This window comes from Homo sapiens, chromosome 13 (genome assembly GCF_000001405.40).
Source record: "Homo sapiens chromosome 13, GRCh38.p14 Primary Assembly".
Lineage (NCBI taxonomy): Eukaryota > Metazoa > Chordata > Mammalia > Primates > Hominidae > Homo > Homo sapiens.
The window spans coordinates 103,391,845-103,403,853 of NC_000013.11; the positions used below are offsets into that span (position 1 = coordinate 103,391,845).

General features: G+C 39.9%; 1 long non-coding RNA gene across 1 annotated transcript, besides 2 other annotated features; it reads left to right on the forward strand.

Moving 5' to 3' along the window:
- Nucleotides 1-382: 382 nt before the first annotated feature.
- On the forward strand, nt 383-4,628 carry LOC105370339 (uncharacterized). The gene is made up of 3 exons (XR_931688.4): nt 383-544; nt 2,912-2,969; nt 3,561-4,628. It is a non-coding gene; the product is annotated as an uncharacterized LOC105370339 (long non-coding RNA).
- Nucleotides 5,050-5,551: an enhancer, noted in NCBI's record as "NANOG hESC enhancer chr13:104049244-104049745 (GRCh37/hg19 assembly coordinates)". NCBI's record gives its function as "activates a minimal SCP1, AML or CMV promoter by ChIP-STARR-seq in primed H9 embryonic stem cells {active_cell/tissue: H9 hESC(primed)}" and the evidence as "EXISTENCE:reporter gene assay evidence [ECO:0000049][PMID:30033119]".
- Nucleotides 5,155-5,449: a silencer, noted in NCBI's record as "tiled region #1917; HepG2 Repressive non-DNase unmatched - State 24:Quies, and K562 Repressive non-DNase unmatched - State 24:Quies". NCBI's record gives its function as "represses a minimal TATA promoter and a strong SV40 promoter by Sharpr-MPRA in HepG2 and K562 cells {active_cell/tissue: HepG2 | K562}" and the evidence as "EXISTENCE:reporter gene assay evidence [ECO:0000049][PMID:27701403]".

Genomic DNA, 12,009 nt, shown 5'->3' on the forward strand with positions numbered 1-12,009 from the left:
GAGAGATGGGAGGAATGCCAAGATCATACATCATGGGAGACAAAAGAAGAGAATGTTTCTCCAAATAGGAAGTGGGAAGCGCTTTATAATGCTGATGACAAGTAAAATGAGGAAGAAAAGTTGTTCATTAGATATAGCAACAGAGATATCACTGTTGACTTTAGATTTTGTTGAATGGTAGCACTAGAGAACTTATTCCAGTAAGTGGCTACGTGAATGAGAAATCAAGCATAGGTAGCATTTATAAAACAGACTTCAGAAACTTGGTTATGAAAGAAGGAAACAGAAGTTATGTCCAAACAGACATTTTTTTATTGTGGTTTTACGGAAAAAACCGGTACATATTTTCATGCTGATGAGAATAATTTAATCCTATTTGTAGGGGGAAGTTGAAAATACATGAGAAAACCTCCATAGTTGATACCATAGGATTTCTGAAAGGAGCCCTATGGAGAGAGTGGGCTTTAATAGGAAGAACACTTTCTCCCCTGGAGGAAAAAGCTGCATGTAAACCCTGGTAGTTTGTAGGTGTGGCAATGGACAGGTAAGAGTATCCTTAGCTTATGCTTGCAGTTTTCATACAAGATCACTTCCTGAAGAAGGGCTGGGTGAGAAGGTTGGAGGGTTGCTGAGATTGCAGTGGTATTGATTTCAGTCTGTGGAGAGGGGAGGGAGAACTGACCATCCAGAGTGAAATGCAGTTCTGAATGATGAACCTAAATTGACTGTGACACCAATCTTCTCAGTTGTATAATTTCCCATAAGGAGAACTGGGAGCTTGATAAGAGGATACAAAGAAAACACAAGAAACCAAAGAGTTTGGGATATTTACAAATGCATGATTTAAATGATGGGCTAACTGGGTGATAAAGAAGGAATGACAATATTTTCTTGCAAAGAAAGAAAGCAGAAGGGTTAAGAATGAAGTTCTCATTATGAGACTGAAGCTCAGTTCTGTGGAGGTCGTTGTATGTAGGATGGAATGATGGGAAGCTGTGGCTGAAAAGTGGAATATTTTGATTTATGATTTAGACCAGAAGCAGTCCAGGGTGGGACGGTAGGGGAGGGTGGTTGTGATAGAATAAAGAGAAGATAGTTTTAGTCTAGGAAGTCATTAAATCTGAAAGTAAGATTGTCAGGGCAACTTCATATGGATGCTGAGGCAGCCTGGAATTATAACCGGAGATGCAGAGGAAGCCTCCAGCCACGCGGAGGCCTCTTCATCAACTGAGGAATGTCTCGGAGGGCTGGAGATGACAGCGATGGGGAGGTTGAGAGGGGGCAGTGCAGGGTGGTCCTACGGTCAAAGAAACCAAACACTTTACAGAGAGAGCAATGGGATAAAAAGCACAGAAAATTCCAAAGCGAGAATTATGTTCCTACTTTCTGACCTTAGAAAAAAGAACAAAGGTGCTGAAGGGAAATGTTATCTTCAGAGATCCATAGGTTTTCTGTAAGACAAGGGAAATGGAGGGACTGTTGTGCAAAAGGGTTGAAGATGTTGAAGATGTAGCCAAATGGCTGTTGACTAAGAAGAAGGTCCAGAGGGCATGGAGTCAGGTTAGTGAGAGAGGGGAGAATGTAGGTTTGTTAAGGAAACACAGGGACGACAGTAAGGGATAGGCTACATGAGGTCTTTTCTCTCGGAAGGCCCTGGTATCCAGCCTAACACTTGCTCTCTGGCCTGGGAGGGGTTTCTGTCCTAGGGGTCCATGGCCTTTTCTGTGGGTCCAATGATGCTGACAGCTGCCATAGGTGCTGCCACAGTGATGGGGTCCAGTCCTGTGTTGGAGGGGTGTTGGCTGGGAGAGAGGCTTACTGATTGATGCTGTGTTTTTCTCACTTTTCATCCACCAGTCCACCTGTGTCCATGAGGCTCATGATCTTGACAGCCTTGTAGAGTTGGGAAGGGAGTGCTTGGTGTTTTGTTCACGAGCAAAGCCCACCTAAGATTTTCTCACCAGTAATGTTGACTTTTTTGTTTTGTTTTTCTGAGACAGAGCCTCACTCTGTCACCCAGGCTGGAGTGCAGTGGTGCGATCTCAGCTCAGTGCAATCTCTGCCCCCTGGGTTCAAGCGATTCTCTTGCCTCAGTCTCCCAAATAGCTGGGATCACAGGCACCCGCCACCACGCCTGGCTAATTTTCGTATTTTTAGTAGAGATGAGGTTTCACCATCTTGGCCAGGCTGTTCTTGAACTCCTAACCTCATGTTCCACCTGCCTTGGCCTCCCAAAGTGCTGGAATTATAGGCGTGAGCCACCGTGCCCAGCCAATGTTGACTTTTTAAAAGAATGAAATTCCCATTTTTTATAGTCATTCAAACTATTTCTTCAGCAAAGTCCTGGTAAATGGAGACTTTCCAGACTGTTTCAGGTAGCAACATTACAGAGCCTACATCACTGATGAACCATTCTCTGTGATGTAAAACACTGGATTTGGAAATAGGTGTTGACAAGAGTTTTAGAGATGGTTCTCCTGCACATTCCTTTTCTCTACTAAGTTATAGCCTATCATTCATGTCATTCATTTGACCTGCCTCGCCTCCAGAAAGCTTACCCTGACTTTTTTACTCTACTGTAGGGTTTCTATAAACTTTATCCACCTGAACACAGTTTTACACACGACCCAACACATTCTGGGGAAGGGTCACAGAACACATTCGTCTTAAATACATGTTTATTTTGACTTTCTGATCTCTTAAACTGAGAGTTCCTTGAATTCAGACTGTGCTCTGACATCATCCATTTTAGACAACTGCTGTAAAAATTGAATTAAATATTTGAAATTGCTGCGTTGTGGAAACTTTGGGTGTCATCAGGGTCTGGGTCAGTGCTCCATGCATTGTTTTAATTGCCCTGACTACAACTTGCTGATGTCCTAACATTAAGATTCCAACATGTGTTCCACAGGACCATGGCTTCTGTGCTGAAGAAAGCAAACACCAGACGCATCAGGCCATGGATACAGGTCTTTTAAGGAAGCAGTTTCTACTCTATGCATGAAACTTGTTTGGATTGAAACCCAGTTTCAAAGCATCCTCTGTGTAAACTGATGAGCACAGGGTTTTGGCACTGTCTCCCTGTGTGCTTGATATCCAGATTTACTGTCTGATCTTGGATATATTTCAATGAAATGAGACCTCTAATAGTAGAGGAATAGATATTTGTGAAACAGTATGACAGTGATAGCAATTATTATAAAAACAAGAAGCACTGCATAAATGCCTTATACAGTAATAATTGCGAGATTTAATTTGGAGTGGCTTTTCCTTATTTGCCCAATAAGTTCTATTTAATTATTTGCTGTGGCATTAAACTTCCAAGGGGAGCTAGGCATGGTCTCCACCTGTTTTAAATACTGTGTGTCTCAATCACAAACTTAACCTTGTGAAACATTAGAGTCTCAGTATCCATGTTAAAGCTAATGTTTAACTGGAAAATGCATCAGTTAAATTTATCTTTTAGATTTTATGTAACATGCTTGCATGCTGGCACTTTGCATACCATTAACAGAAACTAGAATCCTATTCTTCTTTTGAAAGTTCATTTTCTTTTTCAGTACCACGAAATACCAAACTGAACTTGACTCCAAACATGCGCTCAGTTTCAAACTGGATATGAAGACCATTTAAGAATCATGTGTGAGTGAATTTCATTGAAAGAGAAGAAACATTTAAAAACTTTTAAGTCCTTTCTGAATTGCTTATACATATATTCAGCAATTCAGTGATGCAGCCTGGATGTGCACAGACTTGGGTAATTGGTATAGCTTCAAGTGGACATTATTCTTCTTATAACAATACTGCATTTTCCTCCCTCAAACACTAACCTGCTATATTTACAATTACATTTGTTGCCAAATATATTAAGTGGACAAATGGGTCACTGTCTGCCTGCATTTTTCTGACCCAGTCACAATTCATCAAGAAAAACAAAGTTTGGCTGGGATTCTGAAACAAGCACACTAAGCTGTAAATGTATACTTATGTTTGCATGTTAGAATACATCTTAGTTACACGATAAAAAGGAGCAGGGGAGAGGTGGGTGCTTGGAAGTAAAAATGTGACCACAATGAAATTTTGACTGCAGCATTTGAGGAATGGTGGCAGAGCAGTTGGCATCAGCTCTTGTCTGCAGCAGTAATCAGGGCAAAGAAGCAATCTTCTGTGACCCCAAACTAAGAATGGAGTCTTGCTTTGAGAAACTCATGCTTACCAGTTCAGAAGTAACATGCTATAGAGATTTTCAGAATACTAATCTATCTCAGATTAGTGTATTATAAAATAAAAGTGGACAAATATAAATAAATAATTTTTTCAAGTCTTTATAAAAATAGTAGGCTATTGCCTCATTTTAGGGACATAATTTTTAATGCCAAGTGAAAACTATGTAGAAATTCTAATTACAAATTTGTGTACAGCTTTACAATTATTGTATGTGTTAGATGTGCATGTGTTGAACGTTACTATATATCATGCTTTGTGCTGCTCATCGAACATATGAAGTTGCATAAAACAGTCTTTGCTTTTGGGAGACTAAGTTCAGTGTGAGGGGCAGACACTAAAAGTAAATACTCCGATAACTGACGAGAGGGTGAATACCATAATAAAGATGCTGTTTTTCTCTCTCCTCTCTCGAGCTTCCTGTCTTTCTCTCTCTCTCCTCTCTCTCCCGTTCAGGATTTTTAGTTACAGAAAGGAGGTCATGGAAAGATCAACATTTTAGCCCATTGTAGCTGCTGTAACAGAGTATCATAGACTGAGTGGCTTATAAACAACAGAAAGCTATTTTTCAAAGTTCTGGAAGCCTGAAGTCCAAGTAAAGACACGAACAGATTTGATGTGTGGTAAGGGACTGCTTTCTCATAGATGGCTGGCTTCCTTTTGTATCCTTACATGATGGAGGGGTGAGGGGGGTGTCTTTGGAAGTCTCTTTTAGAAAAGCACTAATGTCATTCATAAAGACCCTGTCCTTATGATCTAGTCATCTCCCAAAGGCCACACGTCCTAGTACCATATTATCTTGAGATTAGGATTTTCACTTTTGAATTTTGAGGGGACATAAATATTCAGCCCTTATCATTCCACCTCTGATCTTTTGAAATTCATGTCCCACTTGCATGCCAAATACCACCCCAATAGCCCCCAAAGTCCTAACTTGTTCCATGGACAACTTGAAAGTCTAAAGTCCAAAGTCTCATCTAAATGTCATGTTAATTGTATATGAGTGAGTCTCGAGGTATCCTGAGGCAAATTCCTCTCCAGCTGTGAACCTGTGATCTCAGGCATGTTACGTGCTTCCAAAACACAATGGTGAAACAGGCACAGAATGGGCATTTCCATTTCAAAAGAAACACATAGGAAAGAATGGAGTGACTGGTCCCAAGCGTGGCCAAAACCTTAAGGCTTAAGAATAACCTCCTTTGGCTCAATGCTCTGCCCTCCACTGGCACAGGGGTCCTGTCTACTGCATACACTAAGGTGAAGGCTTCACCTTTGCAGCTTTGCTGTGCAGGAGTTGGGTCCCCAAGTATCTGAGTGCCCCTCCTCTAATGGCTTTGCTGGGAGCAGCCTGTGCTGCTGTTCTTACAAGTTGGAGGCTGTTCATGGCAATGTAGGATTTTACTAGCATGAACATCAAAATTCTTCGAGCCTCTACCCATTACCCAGTTCCAAAGCTCTTCTGCATTTTAAAGTATATGTGAAAACAGCAGCCTACTCCAGGTACCAATTTTCTGCCTTAGTCTGTTCAGGCTGCTATAACAAAAAACCGTAGACTGGGTGACTTGTAAACAATAGAAATTATTTCTACCACTTCTGAAGGCTGATGTATTAGTCCATTCTCATGTCGCTAATAAATACCTACCTAAGACTGGGGAGTTTATAAAGAAAAGAGGTTGAATTGACTCACAGATCAGCATGGCTGGGAAGGCCTCAGGAAACTTACAATCATGGTGGAAGGGGAAGCAAACACATCCCTCTACACATGGTAGCAGCAAGGAGAAATACTGAGCAAAGGGGGAAAAGCCCCTCATAAAACCAAAAGATCTTGTGAAAACTCCCTATCACAAGAACAGCATGAGGGTAACTGCCCCCCTGATTCAATTACCTCCCACTGGGTCCTTCCCACAACACATGGAGATTATGAGAACTACAATTCAAGATGATATTTGGGTGGGGACACAGCCAAACCATATTACTTCACCCTGACCCCTCCCAAGTCTCATGTCCTCACATTTCAAAACACAATCATGCTCTTCTAACAGTCCTCCAAAGTCTTAACTCATTCCAGCATTATCTCAAAAGTCCAAGTTCAAAGTCTCATCTGAGACAAGGCAAGTCTCTCTGCCTATGAGCCTGTAAAATCAAAAGCAAGTTAGTTACTTCCTAGGTACAGTGTGGGTACAGGCATTGGGTAAACACACCCATTCCAAATGGGAGAAATTGGCCAAAATAAAGGGGCTATGGGCCCCATGCCAGTCTGAAATCCAGTGGGTTAGTCAAATCTTAAAGCTCTGAAATGATCTCCTTTGACTCCCTGTCTCACATCCAGGTCACACTGATGCAAGGGGTGGAGTCCCACAGCCTTGGGCAGCTTTAAGCCCTGTGGCTATTTAGGGTACCCCTCCCCCGATCCCAGCTGCTTTCACAGGCTGGCGTTGACTGTGGCTTTTCCAGGCACATGGTGCAAGGCATAGGTGAATCTACCATTCTGGGGTCTAGAGGAGAGTGGCGCTCATCTCACAGCTCCACTAGGCAGTACCCCAGTGGGGACTCTGTGGGGGTACCAACCCCACAATTGCCTTCTGCACTGCCCTAGCAGAGGTTCTCCATGAGGGCTCTACCCCTGCAGAAAACTTCTGCCTAGACATCCAGGTATTTCCGTACATACTCTGAAATCTAGGCAGAAGTTCCCAAACCCCAATTCTTGACTTCTGTGCATCCGTAGGCTCAGCATCATGTGGAAGCCACCAAAGCTTGGGGCTGGCACCATCTAAAGCAACCACCTGAGCTCTATGTTGGCCTCTTTTAGCCATGGCTGGGACACAGGACCTCACGTCCTGAGGGTGCACAAAGCAGCAGGGCCTTGGGCCTGGCCCACAAAACCATTTTTCCCTTCTCGGCCTCCAGGCCTGTGATGGGAAGGGATGCTGTGAAGTCTCTGACATGCCCTGGAGACATTTTCCAAATTGTGTTGGTGATTAACATTTGGCTCCTTGTTACTTATGCAAATTTCTGCAGCCATCTTGAATTTCTCCTCCAAAAATGGGTTTTTCTTTTTTATTGCATCATTAGGCTGCAAATTTTCCAAACCTTTATGCTCTGCTTCTTTTTGAATGCTTTGCTGCTTAGAATATTCTTCCACCAGATACCCTAAATCCTCTTTCTCAAGTTCAAAGCTCATATAGCATATTTGTTTTGAGTGTCTTACTACTTTATTACCAAATTTAAATCAAATAAGATCTGTTTTATACCATTGTATATTCAGGCAGAATTAAGAGAATGCCAATATTGTTTAATGAGTATAGAGTTTTGAATTTGCAAGATGAAAATAGTTCTGGGGACATGGTCCAAATATCTATATGGAAAATTCTTCACAAGTATTTTTCCTTTTTGTCAAATTAAGAAGGCTAATATATATGTTTGGACTAAAGCATGCTGTGAGGCCTGCTGTAGTTTACTCTATAAAGCAAAACCCAAGTTTGTGATTCTAAGGGAAGATTGAACCTCACATGTACTTTAGCATTATAGGAAGTAACGCAAAGAAGAGGGTGACAGGGAAAGACAGACTGAAAATCTGTGGGCCATTGATATGAAAAAAGGGATTCTTTGTCACGTTGCCTAGACCTCAATCCTGCAAGCAAGGCCACAGACAGAGAGCAGGGAGGTTTGTTTTGCACTTCTACACTGCCAGCTTTAGCTACAGGCACACATTTACTTCTCAACCCTCTCTCATGATGTAGATTTCATTAGTCGTAGTTGACAATTAAGGAGAGTGAGATTAAAAATCTGCCCAAGGCCATTCAGATACAAATTTGCAGAACATTCAAATCATCATATATTTTTATTATAAAATTCATAATTTAACCCATATTTCTTTTTCTTTTTAGTAAGAAAGAACTTTATTTTTTTGTTGGCTTGCTTTTTGTTGTTTATGAAATCAAGCATTTTTTTTATTTTTTAAAATATATATACATTTTTATTATACTTTAAGTTCTAGGGTACAGGTACACAATGTGTAGGTTTGTTACATATGTGTACACATGCCATGTTGGTGTGCTGCACCCATTAACTCGTCATTTACATTAGGTATATCTCCTAATGCTATCCCTCCCACCTCCCCCTATCCCACAACAGGCCCCGGTGTGTGATGTTCCCCTTCCTGTGTCCAAGTGTTCACATTGTTCAATTCCCACCTATGAGTGAGAACATACGGTGTTTGGTTTTTTGTCCTTGTGATAGTTTGCTGAGAATGATGGTTTCCAGCTTCATCCATGTCCCTACAAAGGACATGAACTCATCATTTTTTATGGCCGCATAGTATTCTATGGTGTATATGTGTCACATTTTCTTTATCCAGTCTATCATTGTTGGACATTTGGGTTGGTTCCAAGTCTTTGCTATTGTGAGTAGTGCTGCAATAAACATACGTGTGCATGTGTCTTTATAGCAGCATGATTTATATTCCTTTGGGTATATACCCAGTAATGGGATGGCTGGGTCAAATGGTATTTCTAGTTCTAGATCCCTGAGGAGTTGCCACACTGACTTCCACAATGGTTGAACTAGTTAACAGTCCCACCAACAGTGTAAAAGTGTTCCTATTTCCCCACATCCTCTCCAGCACCTGTTGTTTCCTGACTTTTTAATGATCACCATTCTAACTGGTGTGAGATGATATCACATTGCGGTTTTGATTTGCATGATTGTATATCTAGAAAACCCCATAGTCTCAGCCCAAAATATCCTTAAGCTGATAAGCAACTTCAGCAAAGTCTCAGGATACAAAATCAATGTGCAAAAATCACAAGCATCCTTATACACCAATAACAGACAAGCAGAGAGCCAAATCATGAGTGAACTCCCATTCACAATGGCTTCAAAGAGAAGAAAATACCTAGGAATCCAACTTACAAGGGATGTGAAAGACCTCTTCAAGGAGAACTACAAACCACTGCTTGACGAAATAAAAGAGGACACAAACAAATGGAAGAACATTCCATGCTCAAGGATAGGAAGAATCAATATTGTGAAAATGGCCCTACTGCCAAAGGTAATTTATAGATTCAATGCCATCCCCATTAACGCACCAATGACTTTCTTCACAGAATTGGGAAAAACTACTTTAAAGTTCATGTGGAACCAAAAAAGAGCCCTCATTGCCAAGTCAATCCTAAGCCAAAAGACCAAAGCTGGAGGCATCACGCTACCTGACTTCAAACTATACTACAAGGCTACAGTAACCAAAATAGCATGGTACTGGTACCAAAACAGAGATATAGACCAATGGAACAGAACAGAGCCCTCAGAAATAATACCACCACACATCTACAGCTATCTGATCTTTGACAAACCTGACAAAAATAAGAAATGGGGAAAGGATTCCCTATTTAATAAATGGTGCTGGGAAAACTGGCTAGCCATATGTAGAAAGCTGAAACTGGATCCCTTCCTTACACCTTATACAAAAATTAATTCAAGATGGATTAAAGACTTAAATGTTAGACCTAAAACCATAAAAACCCTAGAATTTAACCCATATTTCTTGTGCTTGTGGGTGCATGAATGTGTATAAATTTTGATACCTGTATAAGACAAAAATGTAAAATATGTAAGCACATCTGTCTACTATCCAAAGAATATGCTTCTGATGTTTATTTCATTTGTTTATAAAATCATAATAGTAAAATTTTAGGGACAATATTCATTGGATCCTAATTTTGTCATCAAATGTTGCTTAACATATTGACATGTGCTTTATTGTCACCTTGTTTAGGTCTTTGTTGAAAATTATAGAAATGTTTAATTCACTAATTTATCATAGTTTCTATTTCCTAAGAACTGTGCCACTTGGTGAAAATATTTCCCTATTTAAAATAATTCCCCATACATTCCATATATATTTCCTTTAATTTTCATGTAAAGGTTGTTAAATATATTTATTAAATATATTATTTTATTAAAATATAGTATGTGGCATGGGATTTTAAAAATGTTTTTTTACAAAAGCACTAAAATTATAACTTTCAAATATGATAGACTTCTTTATGCACAATATTTATTCATAAGCAAATCCAAAATAATTGGCTATATACATTTTACTCTCAAAGGACAAGTTTGAGTGGGCGTCTTTACAAATTCAAGCAGTGGAATCTGCTAAGAATCTGATTTAATGTGTATAACTCTATTTAAAATTTAATCATTACCATAATAAAGACATCATTATAGAATGATAATCCAAATGGTAATTGACTTTTCAATTTTGTTGCTTCAAGGTCAACATGGTGGCAGAGCAGCCTGTTCCTTTCTTTGCTTTGTGACATCCCGTTTCACTGTGCTAAATAGTTCATAGTGTAGATTGATACGGCTTTTGGCCTCACTCTCTGAGCTGGATCAGAATATTGGTGGTTAGTGGCAGTGAAATTAATGAGCCCACCACTCTGCCTCATTCTCCTCTTCCCTCTTTAAATGGCAATTACAGTGACACCATTCATGTTACTGTGGTTAAGCATTTTCATGAGAAAAACCAGTCTTTTCCAAGAGTAATATTTCACCTATAAAACCAGCCTACAAATTTAAATTAGAAAGAAAAGATACAAACCAATAACACTGATATTGTAAGCTTGAGAGTATAATGAGAAACAGTAAAAACAGGGCAGCCATGTCGTGTAGTGCAGGTTGTGCACTGAACAATTCCAGAGAATGCGATTCACATGGAACTATACATCATCATTTTCATTTTACTAATTAGTTTAAGCAACTTACAAGTAACTCAGGAAATAAACTACAGTTGTGATAGGCTAAAATTCAGTTGATGAATAAATACTTCAGAAATAGGCTGGGTGTGGTGGCTCACACCTGTAATCCCAGCACTTCAGGAGGCTGAGGTGGGCAGATCATGAAGTCAAGAGATCGAGACCATCTTGATCAACCTGATGAAATCTCGTCTCTGCTAAAAATACAAAAATTAGCTGGGTATGATGGCACACGCCTGTAGTCCCAGCTACTCAGGAGCCTGAGGCAGGAGAATTGCTTGAACCCAGGAGGAGGAGGTTGCAGTGAACCATGATCACACCACTGCACTCCAGCATGGCAACAGAGTGAGATGCCATCTCAAAAAAAATAAAATAAAATAAAAAATAAAGTGCATTAAAATTATAGATGACAGGTAAAAAAGAAAACTCATCTGTTGTGTTGAACACTGGGTATGACAGTTCAAGCAGGGACAGCAGCTGCTAAAGGTGATATAAAAGTTGATGACTAATGCACTGAAGGTTTACCTTGCATAATATAGGAGTGAGAGTTCACAGGAGGATTATTTTTTTCTTCTACACTTTAATTCCTATTTTTGTAACCAGGAAGTAAAGATTTTCTTTATAGCTGAGGCTTGGGCAGCAGGCAAGGTGCGTCAATTGCTCTGAGCCATTGGAATTAACCAAAGGTGTTTATTTAGAGATTAATTCTTCCATCATGCCAGATGGTGCACCGAATATGGCATTGTCTGTTTTTTAGAGCATACTTTCTGGGCTTCAGGTTTTTATTTAGGCCGTGATATCAGGCGCTCTAAAATTTTACTCCTTAGTGGTAACAAATTAATTTTAAGCATCTTTCTTTTGTAATTGGAGGCAATTTCATTGAACCCCATACAAAGGCCATTATAATTAGGATCTATCAACTGAAAAGAATAATAACATTTTGCAGAGATTGCCTTTCCTCTACTACGTTCTTTTAAGTTCTTAAACATCCATTTGGGTTTATTTACTGGGTTTCCCCACTAAAGATATAAGT